The sequence below is a fragment of the Homo sapiens genome, chromosome 14, assembly GCF_000001405.40.
Source record: "Homo sapiens chromosome 14, GRCh38.p14 Primary Assembly".
Taxonomy (NCBI): Eukaryota; Metazoa; Chordata; class Mammalia; order Primates; family Hominidae; genus Homo; species Homo sapiens.
In genome coordinates, this window is record NC_000014.9 from 74,038,190 (window position 1) to 74,056,841 (window position 18,652).

Below are 18,652 nucleotides of genomic sequence, written 5' to 3' on the forward strand. Positions count from 1 at the left end.
ATTAATCTTTGCTAAATGCTGAGCGGGTCTTTTGTTAAAAACATAAGGAATGTCAACTTTTCTGGAAGGAATACAAGTTATGTTTTATATGAAAATGCTGTAGATTGAATCAACATAATTAACTTTTCATGAACTCTTAAAATAGCCTATGTACAGGTATACATTCTGAATTCAAATGAATTAAGAACTAGTGCATATTCAAGTAGCCCATGTTGTAATTTTTTTAAAGAACAGTGTTGCCACCTAGTGGAGAAATAGATTTCAGACCTTTCAAAGTGGGCCTTTGAGGAAGACTTAAAATTCAAAAGATATTGGCTTATGGGAACGAATAAGGTGGTTCTGTGGAATCCCAAATGTGGCAGAATTGTGGCAGGTGTGAGGGTCCATGAATTTTAAATTAGGAGGTATACATTAGGAAAGAAAATTAATTATACTGTGTATGTAGAATTCATTATACAAATTACAAAGAAAACTAAATTGAGATTCTCAAAAGGTATTCAAAGTGTATGTTTTAAAGAAAAAAATTATTTCTGGCTGGGCACAGTGGCTCATGCCTGTGATAACAGCACTTTGAGAGGCTAAGGTGGGTAGAATGCTTGAGCCCAGGAGTTCAAGACCAGCCTAGGCAACGTGGCAGAACACCATCTCTACAAAAAAATCACTTCACTCCAGCCTGGGAAACAGAGCCAGATCCTGTCTCCAAAAAAAGAAAAAAAGAAGAAAGAAATGAAAAAGAAAAAAATGTTTTCCATATACCCGATTAACCAAAGAAGCATATATTGCATATATTGTTAGATTGCAGTTATTATTTTTTAAATAGTTTTAGTCTTCTTTTGACAAAATGATAATACTCATCACAGCAAATTTAGCTTGGCTGATAAAATTAGAAAATAAAAATGATCCATCCCTTACAATTACACTATGTAACGATTGTATAGTTTCTTTTTTCCTTTGCTGTAGAAACTTCTAAAAATAGCTATATGTTATTTTTACAAAAGTGAAGTCATGATATAAATTGTTAACCTGATTTTTCACTTTATATATTGTGAACATTTTTCAATGCCATTAAATATTTTCTATAACATTTTTTCAATAGATGCACGGAATTCCATTGGGTAGATATATCTTAATTTATTAATTGGTTGCTTGCTGTTGGACATTTGGACTTTTTCCTAATTTTTCACTATTATAAACTGTGGGGATCATCTAAGGAATGAAATCTTTTTCTATATCTTTAGTTTTGTTTTTGTTTTTTTGAGACGGAGTTTCACTTTTGTTGCCCAGGTTGGAGTGCAATGATGCAATCTCGGCTTACTGCAACTTCTGCCTCCTGGGTTCAAGCAATTCTCCTGCCTCAGCGTCCCAAGTAGCTGGGATTACAGGCATGTGGCATCACGCCTGGCTAATTTTTTTTTTTTTTGTATTTAGTAGAGACGGGGGTTTCACCATGTTGGTCAGGCTGGTCTGGAACTCCTGGATCTCAGGTCATCCACCCGCCTCGGCCTCCCAAAGTACTGGGATTACAGGCATGAGCCACTGTACCCAACCTCTACCTTTAGTTTTTAGGATAACTTCTTAGTAGAATTTATGGGTTAATGAACATGAACTTTTAAAGGTTTGTGGTGTGTGCTGCCTACTTACCTTTTGAAAGCTTTATTAATTTATAGATTTTTGAGGGAGTCTAATGGTAGATGAAAAATCCATCTCCACATACAATGGGATAGTAGGATAGTACATATTTCTATAAACTTGTATGTTGATACTAATTTTTAAAGTCTTGTTAATGTTGTCTCTCTCTCTTCCAAAACATATATATATATATTTTTTGAGACTAGTCTCGCTCTGTTGCCCAGGCTGGAGCAATGTGGGCTCACTGCAGTCTCTGCCTCTTGGGCCCAAGTGATCCTCCCACCTCAGCCTTAGTTCTGGAGTAGCTGGAACTACAGGTGTGCACCACCACACTCAGCTAATTTTTGTATTTTTTGTAGAGACAGGGTTTGGCCATGTTGCCCAGGCTGGTCTCAAACTTCTTCAAGCTATCTACCCACCTTAGCCTCCCAAAGTGCTGGGATTACAGGTGTGAGCCACCGTGCTCAGCCTCTTAATATTTTTGAAAAATCATTGACTGCAGTTATCTGAAACTGCAAAAAGTGAAACTGCACATAAGGAGGACTACTGTACTAATGTTATCAATCTGTAGAAGATTGAGGGAAATTTGGTACTCGGAGGCAGGAACACAGATTTTTTCTGTGTGTTCAGGATTAAGAGGTAACATATAACAGAAAGCATTTCCTTATTGATAATTTTCTGAGAATGTGCTCAATGACCCCCATTTTCTATTGATCATTTTTGTTTGTTTGTTATTTTAATTTTAGCTGAAAGAGAATTTAAGAAACACAGAGCGGATACATCAGGAGACTCTTAGAAGACTGGAAAGCAGATTTTTTGAAGAAAAGGTACAGATTATTAGGGTTAATTTAAAATGTTTTGTTTACTAGAACATAAGTGTATTTATATGCATTCTGAAACATCAGCCTTCCATTTGGTATCTTAATAGAAGATTAGAAGATTGTTACCAAATTATAGCACAATACAATGAGGGAAAATAAAACCTTCTAGAAATCTCAATATCTAGTCCTTGTTTTCTCTCTCATTCAGAGATTCTTGTCCTCTTCTGAAGGCTTTGGGACATGTCTCCCTCAGCTTGATACTCCCCTGGTGAGACTAAAGCTATGTGTACTCCCATTATATAGGGAAGATGGGAGTGGAGAAATCACTCTCGTATGTGTGCAAAGATGTTTCCTTAGTCAAGCCGAGCTAAAGATGTTAATAAAAAATGTTGCTTAGGCTGGGCACGGTGGCTCACGCCTGTAATCCCAGCACTTTGGGAGGCCGAGGCAGGTGGATCGTCTCAGGTCAGGAGTTCGAGACCAGCCTGACCCTATCTCTACAAAAATACAAAAATCAGCCGGGCATGGTGGCACATGCCTGTAGTCCCAGCTACTCAGGAGGCTGAGGCAGAAGAATTGCTTGAACTCAGGAGGCAGAGGTTGCAGTGAGGCGATATTGCACCACTGCACTCCATCCTGGGTGGTAGAGCAAGACTCCTTCTCAAATAAAAAAAAGTTCCTTAGCACAACACAGCTTCCAACTCCAACTTAATTTCTGTGTTTCTGAAGTTAACTCTCCAAATTGTGGGAAGTACACTGGAACACTTCTACAGAATCCTTTCAGAGGCCTCATGGTTGTTCTTTATTTTAATCCTTTCTTTAACTTTTTATTCTTAGGGAATAATTAAATAGATTCTTTCAGAAATTGGTAGGAATGTAGGCACTTGAGGGTGGGGCAAATGAGGTTTTGTTTGATTGCTTGTTTATTTGAGACAGGGTCTTGTCTGTCGCCCAGGCTGGAGTGCAGTGGTTCAGTCACAGCTCACTGCAGCCTTGACCTCCACCTCCTGGATTCAAGCAATCCTCCTACCTCAGCCTCCTAAGTAGTTGGGGCTACAGGCATATATCATCACACCTAGCTAATTTTTATTTTTTGTAGAAATGGGGTCTTGCTGGGCCTGGTGTGGTGGTTCACTCCTGTAATCCCAGCACTTTGGTAGGCCAAGGTGGGCGGATCACTTGAGGCCAGAAGTTTGAGACCAGCCTGGCCAACATGGTGAAACCCCATCTCTACTAAAAATACAAAAATTAGCCAGGCATGGTGGTGTGCACCTGTAATCCCAGCTACTCAGGAGGCTGAGACGGGAGAATTGCTTGAACCCAGGAGGCAGTGGTTGCAGTGAGCCAAGACTGCTCCACTGCCCTCCATCCTGGGTGATAAAGTGAGACTCTGTCTCAAACAACAACAACAACAACAACAAAACTGAAATGGGGTCTCATTATGTTGCTGGTCTCGAACTCCTGGGCTCCAGCAATCCTTCTGCCTTGACCTCCCAAAGTGTTGGGATCACAGGCATGAGCTACCATGCCTTGCTCCTATGGGGTTTAGATAAAAGGAATTGCTATAGAAAGTGGCTCTAGGTTCCAGTTTGTGTATGGAATAACCTGGAGGAAATGAGGCAAGAGCAGCACCCTGGTGCTTTCCCTCTGAGACCCTCCCTGGCACTGTCAGGAATGGAAGCCCTCAGGAATAGGCTGTTCTCAGGAGCCTCTCCTATTCCACCCTAATCTTGATCTCTTTTCTACTTGGTGTAGAAAATAAAGGTTAGAAAGAGTTGGTCAGTTTACAGAATACCCGAGTAACAGTGCTTATGTAAATAGGATTTTTATATATGAGAGCAGATGGCTGCTGGCCTTTCCTTCATGGTTACAAGGTAGTTAACTGCAGTTTGAAGCTCTGTGTTCAAGACAAGAAGGGAGGCTCCAGCTGTGTCTGTCCCTTTTATCTGGAAGCCATAACAACTTTCCCAGAAGCTGTTAGCACATTTCATCTTACATCTCACTGACCAGAACCATGTTATAAAGAATGCTGGGCGGCACACACTGTTCTCCCACCTACTCTGGAGACTGAGGCTCAAGGATTGCTTGAGCCCAGGAATTCGGGGCTGCAGTGAGCCATGATTGTGTCACTGTATTCCAGCCTGGATGACAGAGTAAGACCCTGTCCTTCTCTCTCTCTCTTCCTCTTTCTCTCTCTCGCTCTGTTTCTCTCTCTCTCTCTTATACACACACACACACAGACACACACACACACACACACACACACACACACTACTGGGAAAGTGAATGTTTGTTTTCCTCGCCATTAGTGGAAGCTAGGGAGGAAAAAGAAGGATGGGAATGAATGTTGGTTTGGACATCACAGCAGGGTCTGCCTCTCCATGTTAGGTACAAACTTCATGGATATTTCTCCTGTGCTGGTTTGAGCCCCGGTGCTGCAGCTTCATGGCATTGGGCTTTCCAATCGGCCTGTTCATTTACTTTATACCTCAGCATGCCCCAGCCGGCCATATAAAGGATTTCCCAGATCATTGGTGTTTGGTTTGATTTTCCCATTTATTTCTTTCTATTCTTTGAATCACAAAGCCCTGTCCTACATTTATATATATATATTTTTTAAGACAGAGTCGGCCAGGCGCGGTGGCTCACGCCTGTAATCCCAGCACTTTGGGAGGCCGAGGCGGGTGGATCATGAGGTCAGGAGATCGAGACCATCCTGGCTAACAAGGTGAAACCCCGTCTCTACTAAAAATACAAAAAATTAGCCGGGCGCGGTGGCGGGCGCCTGTAGTCCCAGCTACTCGGGAGGCTGAGGCAGGAGAATGGCGTGAACCCGGGAAGCGGAGCTTGCAGTGAGCCGAGATTGCGCCACTGCAGTCCGCAGTCCGGCCTGGGCAACAGAGCGAGACTCCGTCTCAAAAAAAAAAAAAAAAAAAAAAAAAAAAGACAGAGTCTCACTTTGTCACCTAGGTTGGAGTGCAGTGGCATGATCTCGGCTCACTGCAACCTCTGCCTCCTGGGTTCAACTGGTTCTCCTGCCTCAGCCTCCTGAGTAGCTAATTTTTGTATTTTTAGTAGAGACAGGGTTTCACCATGTTGACCAGGCTGGTCTCGAACTCCTGACCTCAGGTGACCTGCCCGCTTCGGCCTCCCAAAGTGCTGGGATTACAGGTGTGAGCCACCACTCCTGGCCTCTACATCCATATTTTTATATTGCTAGTCCCTCCTTCTGGAATGCTGTTCCTCCAGCTCTGGATCATTCTTATTTAGAGCTCAGATATCATTTCTTTAGAGAGAGATTTCCTAAACTCCAATCTAAAATGAGGCTGGGCACGGTGGCTCACGCCTATAATCCCAGCACTTTGGGAGGCCAAGGCCGGCGGATCACTTGAGGAGAGGAGTTTGAGACCAGCCTGGCCAACATAGTGAAACCCTGTCTGTACTAAAAATACAAAAATTAGCTGGGCATGGTGGTGCACACCTGTAGTCCCAGCTACTTGGGAGGCTGAGACATGAGAATCACCTGAACTCGGGAGACAGATGTTGCAGTGAGCCGAGATCATGCCACTGCACTCCAGCCTGGGTGACAGAGTGAGACTCTGTCTCAAAACAATAATAATAAAATAAATAAATAAATAAATAATAAAACGACCTCCTCTAGTTACTATCTACCTTATTACCCCATTTATTTCACTGATAGCATTTATCACAGTCTATTAATTCTTTTTATTTGTTTACTTGTTAGGGGACTGTATAGCATCAGATTGCCTGCATATAAATCCCTGCTCTGCCACTTACTAGCTTTGTGACTTTGGGCAAGTCACCAACCTCTTCTCTTTTTTTTTTTTTTTTAAACAGAGTCACCCAGGCTGGAGTGCAGTGGCACAACCATGGCTCACTGCAGCCTCTACCTCCCAGTCTCATACAATCCTCCTGGCTCAGTCTTCTGAGTAGCTGGGACCACAGGTGCACACCACCATGCCGAATTAAAAAAAATTTTTTTTGGCCAGGCGCGGTGGTTCATGCCTGTAATCCCAGCACTTTGGGAGGCTGAGGCGGGTGGATCACCTGAGGTCAGGAATTCAAGACCAGCCTGGCCAACATGGTGAAACCCCGTCTCTACAAAAATACAAAAATTAGCTGGGCATGATGGTAGGTGCCTGTAATCCCAGGTACTCGAGAGGCTGAGGTGAAAGAATCGATTGAACCCAGGAGGCAGAGGTTGCAGTGAGCTGAGATCACGCCACTGTACTCTAGCCTGGGCAACAGAGGGATACTCCCAGAGATGGGGTCTCCCTATGTTGTTCAGCTGGGCTTGAACTCCTGAGCTCCAGTCATCCCGCCTTGGCCTCCCAAAGTGCTAGGATTACAAACATGAGCGAGCAGGCCCGGCCAACCTTTCTGTTTCTGTTTCCTCAGTCCCTGCTTTTGGGCATAATAGTAGTATCTATATAATAGGGTTGCTGTGACAAATAAATGATACATGTAACATTCTTAGAACTGTTCCTGGCACATAGTAAATGCTCAAAACATGATAATTATTGCTTATTGTTTAGATTTCACCCTAGAATATAAGCTTCATGAGATCAGGGACCTTGTCTGTTTTGTTCACTACAGAATTTCAGTATCTAAAACAGTCTGGTAATTATTAATGCTCATAGTATTATTTTTTATTTATTTATTTTCTTGAGATGGAGTTTCACTCTTGTTGCCCATCTGGAGTGCAATGGCGCGATCTTGGCTTACCACAAACTCTGCCTCCCGGGTTCAAGTGATTCTCCTGCCTCAGCCTACCGAGAAGCTGGGATTACAGGCATGTGCCACCACACTGGGCTAATTTTGTATTTTTAGTAGAGCTGGGGTTTCTCCATGTTGGTCAGGCTGGTCTTGAACTCCTGACCTCAGGTCATCCACCCACCTCAGCCTCCCAAAATGTTGGGATTACAGGCGTGAGCCACCGCGCCCGGACAATGCTCATAGTAATTTTTAGACTGACCAAGCACTTCTAATTTTTATTTTCTACACCAAGTAAAAAAGAGATCAAGATTAGGGTGGAGTAGAGGGAGAGGCTACTGAGAACAGCCTAGTCCTGAGGGCTACCATTCCTGAATGAATAAATGAATGACTCTCATTTCAGTGCATTTAGCAGAAATTCCTCCTCATTCTGCTTTCCAACATGGAATTGAATTTTCTCCCCTATTTATATGTCATATTGCTTCCTTAAGTGGGAAAATGGGGAGGAACCCTAAGGTTCCTGTGTTCACACTGTCCTCTTTGTCAGCTTCTCCACCAGTGCTTGGAGTTCTTTCAGGTCATGGGGACAGGAGTTTTTTATTTGACATTCTAAAATAAATATCTTTTGATGAGTAAAATTTGTTGTTAGGGGCATAATTATTTAAGCAGCCCATTTTCTTTTTTAGCACCGACTAGAACAAGAGGCTGAAAAGAAGATAATAATGCTAGCAGAGAGAGCCCACCATGAGGCTATTGTGTAAGAGACTGCTGCCTACTTTCTGACTCTGATTACCTCTCTTACCTCTTTGCTGGTCTCTTTTCTTCTTACTTTCTTGTCTTCCCCCTTCTGTTCTGGCTTACTTGCTTCAAATTTTCTGGTCTACTGTCCCTCCCTGTTTCTTTCTCTTTGTATACTCCCACCCCTTTTTCCTCTACTCTTTCTGTGGCAGCATTGTGTGGTGGAAAGATCCTGGGCTTTGAACTTACTTATTTATTGATTTATTTTTTGAGATGGAGTCTTGTTCTGTCATCCAGGCTATCCAGGCTGGAGTGCAGCGGCATGAGCTTGGCTCACTGCAACCTCTGCCTCCCGAGTTCAGGCGATTCTCATGTCTCAGCCTCCTGAGTAGCTGGGATTACAGGCACCCACCACCACACCTGGCTAATTGTTGTATTTTTAGTAGAGACAGGGTTTCGCCATGTTGGCCGGGCTGATCTCGAACTCCTGACCTCAAGTTATCCACCCACCTCAACCTTCCAAAGTGCTGGGATTATAGGCATGAGCCACCGTGCCCAGCCTGCACTTGACTTTGGTTCTCAACATGTATACTAACTAACCGTAGGAAGATTTCTTACCTTTTTGTTTGATTCTTTGTTTTTGAGACAGGGTCTGGCTCTGTCACCCAGGCTGGAGTACATTGGCATCATCATGGTTCACTGCATCCTCCACTGCCTGGGCTCAAGTGATCCTCTCACGTCAGCCTCCAGAGTAGCTGGGACTACAGGCATGTGCCACCACGCCCAGCTAATTTTTGTATTTTTTGTAGAGACTGGGTTTTGCCCGGGCTGGTCTCGAACTCCGGGGCTCAAGCAATCCACCCGCCTCGGGCTTCCCAAGTGTTGGGATTACAGATGTGAGTCACTGTACCAAGCCACATTTCTTAACTTTCTTGAAGTTAAATTTCTTCAACTAAAAGTAGGGCTAATTTACTTCTTCCAGTAATCTGAGTTTATAAAAATAAATAAATAGTAAAACCATGGCTAATAGTAGCAATCTTGCAGGGTTGTCATGAGGTATATTAGTGGAAGTACATCTAACTCTCAGGTCTTAATGGTTTATTTCTTGTTCATCGAACAATCCTGTATGGGTCTGGCAGCTCTCCTCCAGGGATGATTCAGGAACCTGGCTGCTTCCTTCTTGCACCTCTGCCGTGTTGGAGTTTTTCACGTCTAGTCATGTGGACAGGAAAGAGCATGGGAGACTCATACCTGCTCTTAACTGCCTTGCACTAGAAGTAACCCGTCCTTTTTCACTTTATTTATTTATTTATTTATTTATTTATTTATTTATTTTTGAGACAGGGTCTCGCTCTGTCACCCAGGCTGGAGTGCAGTGGTACAATCATGGCTCACTGCTGTAGCCTTGACTTCTTGGGCTCAAGTGGTTCTCCTTCCTCAGCTTCCTGAGTAGCTGCGACAGACTACAGGTGCAAACCACCACGTCTGGCTAATTTTTTAGATTTTCTGTAGAGATTGGGTCTCACTATGTTGCCTAGGCTGGTCCCAAATTCCTAGGCTCAAGTGATCCTCCCGTCTCAGCCTCTCAAAGTGCTGGGATTATAGATGTGAGCCACTGCATTCAGCCATTTTCACTTTTTTATTGGGTGAAAACTTAATTACAAGATTCCCACATAACTACTGAGTACCCACCATAAGCTAAATAGGTGGTAGTCACTATTGATAATATTGGGGGTGCAGGTGGTGAAGCAATCATTTTTCTATTTTGGCGATATCTAAAAGTTAGACCTGTGTTTTGAGATCTTATATCTATTTCAGGCAATTGAACGATGCTGGAAGAAATGTTTTTAAAGAGAATGATTATCTTCAGAAAGCTCTGGCATATCACCTGAAGGAAACTGACGCTCTACAAAAAAACTCCCAGAAGTTGCAAGAGAGTCATACTTTACTTTTACATCAAAAGGTTCCCTCTCATTTAGACTTGGTGTCCTTCTTTTCTTTATTTAAGGATTGGGTTGGTAAATACCAAAAATTGGGTATAATAATGATATATAAGGACAATGAGACCATTTTCATCTGTCTGGATGATGCACTTTTTTTATCTGAAAAGGTTAAATACTCAATCTTATAATGCTTATAAGAAGCATTAGACTCAACTTATAAAGAATATATCAGAAACATAAATATGACCCTTATCCTCTACTACCTTAGAATATTCATTTTTCTTTGCTTAGAGTTGGTCCCTGAGTCACTTAGGAATACATTTAGCGGTGAGTAACAGTCCTGACATCAGTGGCATCACCACACAAGGGTTTATTCTTTCACCTAAAGGAGGCCTGGAGGTAAGCAATCCACAGCAGGAATGGTAGTGCCACAAAGTTAATAGACACTCAGCTTCCTTAACTTTGCTCTGCAACACTTGGCTTACATCCTCAAACTCACCTCACAGCCTGGGGGGCGCTGCTGGAGCTCTAACCATTCCTTTAAATAGCAGGAAGGAAGAAAAAAAGAAAAAAGTGTGCCTCTCGTTTAAGAGGTCTTTCTGGAAGTCCTACACACATTTCTATTTACATATCATTGACTAGAAAATGGTTATGCTGAACTTCAAGGGAGACTGGGAATTTTCAGCTGGACTTAACTGCCTTTCTGAATGAAGTTGGGGTTTTATTACTATGGAGGAAAGGGAAAGGGAAAATAGATATTGGGATAGGCAACAAGGAGATGCCATAGTTTCCAATATAGTTATTAATGTTTTACTATATAGTTATAGAGAGAGAGAGAAAGACGGAGTCTCACTCTCACCCAGGCTAGAATGCAGTGGCATGATCTTGGCTCACTGCAACCTTTACCTCCTGGGTTCAAGTGATTCTCCTGACCCAGCCTCCTGAGTAGCTGGGACTACAGGCATGCACCACCACGGCCAGCTAATTTTTGCATTTTTTAGTAGAGACAGGGTTTTGCTATGTTGGCCAGGCTGATCTCGAACTCCTGACCTCAGGTGATCCACCCACCTTGGCCTCCCAAAGCTCCAGGATTACAGGCATGAGCCACCATGCTCAGCCCTTCATTCTTTTTCATGGCTGCAAGAAAGTTTCTTAATTAGCACAATTCATAATTAGTAGATTGCCTTCCCAAGTCCAGACAAGGACCCTAGGATGTTTGTTACTCTCTATATAGAATACCAAAATATCACCTCAGCTTGGCATAAAACTTAAATCTCATGAAGTAATGGAAATTAGTAAGGAACTTCCTAAGTTCTGGAATGATTAAAAAAAAAATCAGCCGGGCGCAGTGGCTCACGCCTGTTATGCTGGCTGAGGCAGGCAGATCACCTGAGGTCAGGAATTCGAGACCAGCCTGGCAAACATGGTGAAACCCTGTCTCTACTAAAATTGCAAAAATTAGCTGGGCGTGGTGATGGGCACCTGTAATCCCAGCTACTCAGGAGCCTGAGGTAGGAGAATTGCTTGAACCCAGGAGATGGAGGTTGCAGTGAGCTGAGATTGTGCCACTGCCCTCCAGCCTGGGCGACAGAGCAAGATTCCATCTCAAAAGAAAAAAAAAATCACCTCTCATCTTTCTGTTTTTAGGAGATCAATGATCTGTTGGTTAAGGAAAAGATTATGCAACTTGTCCAGCAGAGATCACAAATCCAAACCCTTCAGAAGAAGGTAGTAAACTTGGAGACTGCTCTGAGTTACATGACCAAAGAGTTTGAGAGTGAAGTTTTAAAACTGCAGCAACACGCAATGATAGAGAACCAAGCAGGTCAGGTAGAAATTGACAAGCTGCAGCACCTTCTTCAGATGAAGGACAGGGAAATGAATCGTGTGAAGAAGCTGGCCAAGAACATACTGGATGAGAGAACAGAAGTGGAAAGATTCTTTTTAGATGCTCTGCACCAAGTGAAGCAACAGATCCTAATTAGCAGGAAGCATTATAAGCAGATAGCACAAGCTGCTTTCAATTTAAAAATGAGAGCAGCATGTACAGGAAGAACAGAATATCCCAAAATCAGAACATTTGATGGCAGAGAGCACAGCACCAATAGTGTGAATCAGGATCTTCTGGAGGCCGAAAAATGGTACTAGCAATACTTTATTATTATCTTTTTGCTGCTATTTTTGTGTCCTTTACAGAAAGAGGAAGTCTGAAAAGTTTAGTTTTATAATATTCAAGTATTGAATAGATTTCTCAGTAGGTTACTTGAGGACAGGAACTGACTTATTCATCTTTGTAATCTCTAGGCTTAGCATAGCATGTGGGGCTTTGGACGTATTCTTAGTATATTCCCCTCTGTCTCATGATAGAAGTCTTGTTAAGGAGACTATTTTTCCCATAGGTTGTTTTTTATATAAGATATATAAGGTCATTATGTATCTTTTCACTTGTTCCTTTGTTTCCCATAAATTGGACATTTGTTATAAAAGCCTGATTAGATTCAGGTTAAACTTTTTTGTTTTTTTAAAGGCAGGGTCTCACTACGTTGCCCAGGCTGGTCTTGAACTCCTGGCCTCAAGTGATCCTCCTGCCTCAGCCTCTCAAAGTGGTGGAATTACAGGCGTGAGCCACTGCACCAATCCAGGTTAAACATTTTTGATACGCATACTTTCAGAAATATTTTGTACCGTTTACTATCCTGAGATGAAATTCATAGGTGATAATATCTATCCAACCATATAATTAAAAAAAAATCAATATAACAATTATTTGTAGGCCAGGCATGGTGGCTTACACCTGTAATCCCAGCACTTTGGGAGGCCAAGTCGGATGGATCACTTAAGGCCAGGAGTTCAAGACCAGCCTGGCCAACATGGTGAAACCCTGTCCCACTAAAAATACAAAAATTAGGCTGGGTGTGGTGGCTCATACCTGTAATCCCAGCACTTTGGGAGGCCGAGGAGGGTGGATCGCCTGAGGTCAGGAGTTCGAGACCAGCCTGACCAACATGGTGAAACCCTGTCTCTACTAAAAATACAAAAATTAGCTGGGCATGGTGGCACATTCCTGTAATCCTAGCTACTTGGGAGGCTGAGGCAGGAGAATCATTTGAATCCAGGAGATGGAGGTTTCAATGAGCCAAGATCACGCCATTGCACTCCAGCCTGGGTGACAAGAGCAAAACACTGTCTCAAAAAAACAAAACAAAAAACAAAAATTAGCTGGGCGTGGTGGCGGGGGTCTGTAGTCCCAGCTACTCAGTAGGCACAAGAATCGCTTGAACCCAGGAGGCAGAGGTTGCAGTGAGCCAAGATTGCATCACTGCACTCCAGCCTGGGCAACAGAGTGAGACCCTGTTTCAAAAAAACAAACAAACAAAAAACCAAAACAATTATTTGTAACAATTCTTTGTTATAGAGAACTGTCCCATGGATTGGAGGACAATCAGTAGTGCCCCCAGCATTGTATTAACCAAAAGTCCCCCAAAATTTTCCAAAATTTTAGAGATCTGCTGCCACTATGATAAAGGTAACAGAATGTTTGAGACAGTTGCAGACTATATATTACATAATGATTAACTTTGTTTCCTATTAGCATTTTTGTTTCTTAGAGCAGTCTCCTCCCTATAAACCATGGATTAAATTATAGTCCATTTTGAGGGTTATTCTGAAAGAAAATTATTTTATATTCCAATGCAATTAGATTCTTCAAAGGCCCTAACTCAAGAAACTTAAAAGGACTGCAGCCTGGAACTCCTGGGCTCAAGTGATCCTCCTGCCTCAGCCTCACAAAGCGCTGGGATTACAGGCACGAGCCACCATGCCCAGCCTAACATCTTCCAAATGTGTTTTTTGCTTTAAATTATTTTTAAAGGACTAATTTTATAGGTTGTTTTGAATTATATGGCTGTTGAGAAGGTTGGACATGCTCAGTAGTCTCTGATAGATAAGATTCTTCTTCAAAATGCCTAAACTATAATTTACTTCTTGTCATATTCAGAAATCTGTAATACTACTACTGTTACCAAGAGATTTGCTGTAATTTCTCTTTTTTATTTAATACATCAAATAAGTTGAGTCCCTACCATATATAAGGCAGTTTTCTTTATATCCTTTTGTTTACGAAATAGTAAGTGTTATACATTTTCAGAGGAAGTTAAATGATTGTCTACATTGTTACTGCAGTAACTGGACTCTTCCTATTCTGTGTTCTATGTGACATTTTTGCTACTGACCACCTTAACACTTTAGCCTTAGTGTCCTATTGCCTCTATCAGCAGGGCAGAAATGGTGGTTAACATATTACATCATCGGGCTGGGCGCAGTGGCTCACGCCTGTAATCCCAGCACTTTGGGAGGTTGAGACAGGTGGATCAAGAGGTCAGGAGTTCAAGACCAGCCTGGCCAAGTTGCTGAAACCCCGTCTCTACTAAAAATACAAAAATTAGCCAGGCATGATGGCACACACCTGTAATCCCAGCTACTCAGGAGGCTGAGGCAGGAGAATCACTTGAACCTGGGTGGCAGAGGTTGCAGTGAGCCAAGATTGTGCCACTGCACTCCAGCCTGGGCAACAGAGCAAGACTCCATCTCAAAAAAAAAAAAATTACATCATCTATTTAAATGGTAGATTGGAAAAGGACAGTTGAAGTATATGGTAATCGGCTGGGTGTGGTGGCTCATGCCTGTAATTCCAGCACTTTGGGAGGCTGAGGCAAGAGGATCATTTGAGTCCAGTAGTTAAAGACCAGCCTGGGCAACACAGTGAGACCCCACCTCTACAAAAAACAAAACAAAAAGTAGCCTGGCATGATGGTGTGCATCTGTAGTCCCATCTACTCGGGAGGCTGAGGTGGGAGGATTGCTTGAGCCCAGGAGTTCGAGGCTGCAGTGAGCCATGGCTGCAGTGAGCCATGGCTGCAGTGAGCCATGATGATGCCACTGCACTCCAGCCTGGCAACACAGTGAGACCTAGTCTCAAAAAATAATAATAAATAAAATAAATTTTTTAAAAAATGAAGTATATGGTAATCATAAGACAAAACCTAGACTTTTTAATTTAATTAATTAATTTATTTTTTTGAGATGGAATCTCACTCTGTCGCCAGGCTGGAGTGCAGTGGCGATCTTGGCTCACTGCATCCTCTGACTTCCGGGTTCAAGCGATTCTCCTGCCTCAGCCTCCCAAGTAGCTGGGATTACAGGTGCGTGCCACCATGCCCGGCTAATTTTTGTATTTTTAGTAGAGACGGGGTTTCACCATGTCAGCCAAGAAGGTCTCGCTCTCCTGACCTTGTGATCTGCCTGCCTCGGCCTCCCAAAGTGCTGGGATTACAGGTGTGAGCCACTGCACCCGGCCGACTTTTTTATTTTTTTGAGACGGTCTCACTCTATTGCCCAGGTTGGAGTGCAGTGGCACCATCATGGCTCACTGCAGCCTTGACTGGGCCCAAGCGATCCTCCCACCTCAGCCCCCCAAGTAGCTAGGACTACAGGCATGTGCCACCATGCCAGGCTAATTTTAAAATTATTTTTATAGAGAAAAGGGTTTCACTACATTTCCCAGGCTGGTCTTGAACTCTTGCCCTCAAGGTATTCTCCCACCTTGGCCTCCCAAAGCTCCAGGATTACAGGTGTGAGCCACCGCACCTGGCCAAAACCTAAACTTTTTTTTTTTTTTGAGAGAGTCTCACTCTGTCGCCCAGGCTGGAGTGCAATGATGCCATCTTGGCTCACTGCAACCTCCACCTCCCGGGTTTAAGCGATTCTCCTGCCTCAGCCTCCCGAGGAGCTGGGACTACAGGTGCATGCCACCACGTCTGGCTGATTTTCTTTTTTTTGAGACAGAGTCTTCGCTCTGTCACCCAGGCTGGAGTGCAGTGGCACAATCTCGGCTCACTGCAAGATCTGCCTCCAGGGTTCAAGCCATTCTCCTGCCTCAGCCTCCCAAATAGCTGGGACTACAGGCTCCTGCCACCATGCCCGGCTAATTTTTTTGTATTTTTTAGTAGAGACAGAGTTTCACCATGTTAGCCAGGGTAGTCTTGATCTCCTGACCTCGTGATCCGCCCGCCTCGTCCTCCCAAAGTGCTAGTATTACAGGTGTGAACCACTGCGCGCAGCCTAATTTTCGTATTTTTAGTAGAGACAGCGTTTCACCATGTTAGCCAGGATGGTCTTGATCTCCTGACCTCATGAACCACCCACCTTGGCCTCCCAAATTACTGGGATTACGGGTGTGAGCCACCGCACCTGGCCTAAACAACTTTTTTTTTCTTGTTCCCTTTGTCTGTGTCTCTAAATAAATAATGTTACATTACAGTTTTTTTTGTTGTTTTTTTTTTTGAGTCGGAGTCTCGCTCTGTTGCCAAGGCTGGAGTGCAGTGGCACGATCTCAGCTCACTGCAACCTCCACCTCCCAGGTTCAAGTGATTCTCCTGCCTCAGCCTCCTGAGTAGCTGGGATTACAGGTGCCCACCACCATGCCCAGCTAATTTTTGTATTTTTAGTAGAGATGGGGTTTCACCATTTTGGTCAGGCTGATCTCGAACTCCTGACCTTGTGATCCTCCCGCCTCAGCCTCCCAAAGTGCTGGGATTACGGGTGTGAGCCACCGCACCCAGGCTCTTTTTTTTTTTTTTTTTGAGAAGGAGTCTTGCTTTGTCACCCAGTCTGGAATGCAGTGGAGTGATCTCGGCTCACTGCAACCTCCCATCTCCCAGGTTCAAGCGATTCTCCTGCCTCGGCCTCCTGAGTAGCTGGGATTAGAGGAGCCTGCCACCATGCCCAGCTAATTTTTGTATATTTAGTAGAGACGGCATTTCACCATGTTGGCCAGGCTGGTCTCGAACTCCTAACCTGTGATCTGCCCGCCTTGGCCTCCCAAAGTGTTGGGTAAGCCACCGTCCCCAGCCTCCTTAGAGTTTTCTACTTTGCTTATTTCCTTAATGTCTGAGCACAAATATTTTTTCATGTTGTTAAAGTTTTTGTCATTTTCATCTTTATGATATGTAACATTTCGGATTGGCTAGTATATTGTTGTCCTTATCAACTTTATGATTTTGTGATGGATAGTTTGCTTTGTAGTTTTCTTTTTTTCTTTCTTTTTTTTTTTGAGACGGAGTTTCACTCTTTTCTCCCAGGCTGGAGCACAGTGGCGCGATCTCAGCTTACTGCAGCCTCCGCCTCCTGGGTTCAAGCGATTCTCCTGCCTCAGCCTCCCGAGTAGCTGGGATTACAGACAGCTGCCACCATGCCCAGCTAATTTTTGTATTTTTAGTAGAGACGAGCTTTCATCACATTGTCCAGGCTGGTCTCGAACTCCTGACCTCAGATGATCCACCCGCCTCGGCCTCCCAAAGTGCTGGGATTACAGGTGTGAGCCACCGCGCCTGGCCTGTAGTTGTTTCATAATATTCAATTATGGTGTGGAATTTATCCTATGTTTACCCATTATATATTTTTTAAAAAGAAGAGAAGCCTATTTGACCGTATTTTTCCTTTTCACATTTTTTTCCTTTGAAATTCTTTAGGACACATATTGAAGGAAATGTGGATATTGGAGATTTGACCTGGGAGCAGAAGGAAAAAGTATTGCGATTGCTCTTTGCAAAAATGAATGGCTGTCCTTCTAGGTAACTCCCTATTTCTGCAGTGAAATACCAAGTTGTTATCAAATCTAGAAACCACTTAGGAACAAAGAACTTATTTTTCTTACTTAGAACTAAAGGGACGGGAAAGGACCAGAAAATATAAAAAGGCCCTACTGCTTAACTACTGCAGCTCCCAGAGATAAAGAATGGGAGATTAATGAATGAGCATGAAAATGAAAGATGAGTTGGAATTAAAGGGGGAGGGGAAAGATTCATCTTAGATGTTTAAGGTAGTGCTTATTAAGAAGTTACAATATTGCTCAGCTGAATGAGTGGCAACTGAAGAGAAACATAACAATATTAAGATTTTATTGGTTTGCAAAGATAAGTATTTTTTTTTTTTTTTGAGATGGGGTCTCACTCTGTCACCCAGGCCAGAGTGCAGTGGCACAATCACAGCTCACTATAACCTCCACTTCCCAGGTGCAAGTGATCCTCCCACCTCAGCCTACTGAGTAGCTGGGACTACAGGCATGTGCCACAACGCCCGGCTAATTTTTTTTTTTTTTTTTTTTGAGAAGGAGTCTCATTCTGTTGCCCAGGCTGGAGTGCAGTGATGTAATCTCGGCTCACTGCAACCTCTGCCTCCTGGTTCAAGTGATTCTCGTGCTTCAGCCTCCCGAGTAGCTAGGATTACAGGGGCCACCACCATGCCTGGCTAATTTTTGTATTTTTTTGTAGAGATGGAGTTTTACCATGTTATCCAGGCTGGTCTCGAACTCCTGACCTGAGGTGACCTGCCCGCCTCAGCCTCCTAAAGTGCTGAGATTACAGGCATGAGCCACTGTGCCCGGCCCTAATTTTGTATTTTTAGTAAAGACAGGGTTTCACCATGTTGGCCAGGCTGGTCACAAACTCCTGACCTCAGATGATCCACTCACCTCGGCTTCCCAAAGTGCTGGGATTACAGGCATGAGCCACTGCCCCTGGCCAGTTATACATTTTAAAATAACTAAAAGAGTGTAATTGGATTGTAACACAAGGGATAAATACTTGAAGGGATGGATACTTCATTCTCTATGATGTGATTATTTCACATTGCATGCCTGTATCAAAACATCTCACGTACCCCACAAATACGTATACCTACTATCACCCACAAAAATAAAAAATAAAAAAAAATTAAAATACAAAAAGA

The 18,652-nt window shown here is 43.2% G+C and overlaps 1 protein-coding gene across 24 annotated transcripts in view, besides 1 other annotated feature; it reads left to right on the top strand.

Moving 5' to 3' along the window:
- Positions 1–18,652, top strand: part of BBOF1 (basal body orientation factor 1) — a 63,516-nt gene that overhangs the window by 18,841 nt on the left and 26,023 nt on the right. For 10 of the 24 annotated variants that reach the window (XR_007064048.1, XM_011537171.3, XM_011537174.3 and 7 more), the window contains 6 exons: positions 2,376–2,456; positions 7,871–7,941; positions 9,741–9,885; positions 10,157–10,264; positions 11,513–12,006; positions 17,395–17,496. Coding sequence is in view for 22 of the 24 variants with exons in the window: in XM_011537171.3 (XP_011535473.1) it covers positions 2,376–2,456; positions 7,871–7,941; positions 9,741–9,885; positions 10,157–10,264; positions 11,513–12,006; positions 17,395–17,496 (1,001 nt within the window). In the remaining 2 variants the exon portion in view is untranslated. Of the gene's footprint in view, positions 1–2,375; positions 2,457–7,870; positions 7,942–8,571; positions 9,262–9,740; positions 9,886–10,156; positions 10,265–11,512; positions 12,007–17,394; positions 17,497–18,652 lie in introns of those variants that run through there. The other 14 variants (XR_007064049.1, XM_047431778.1, NM_025057.3 and 11 more) reach the window with 4 other exon arrangements.
- Positions 6,147–6,316: an enhancer, noted in NCBI's record as "experimental_36659 CRE fragment used in MPRA reporter constructs". NCBI's record gives its function as "activates a minimal promoter by MPRAs in K562 erythroleukemia cells, with activity observed for both the introgressed and non-introgressed 14:74511124 variant alleles {active_cell/tissue: K562}" and the evidence as "EXISTENCE:reporter gene assay evidence [ECO:0000049][PMID:34662402]".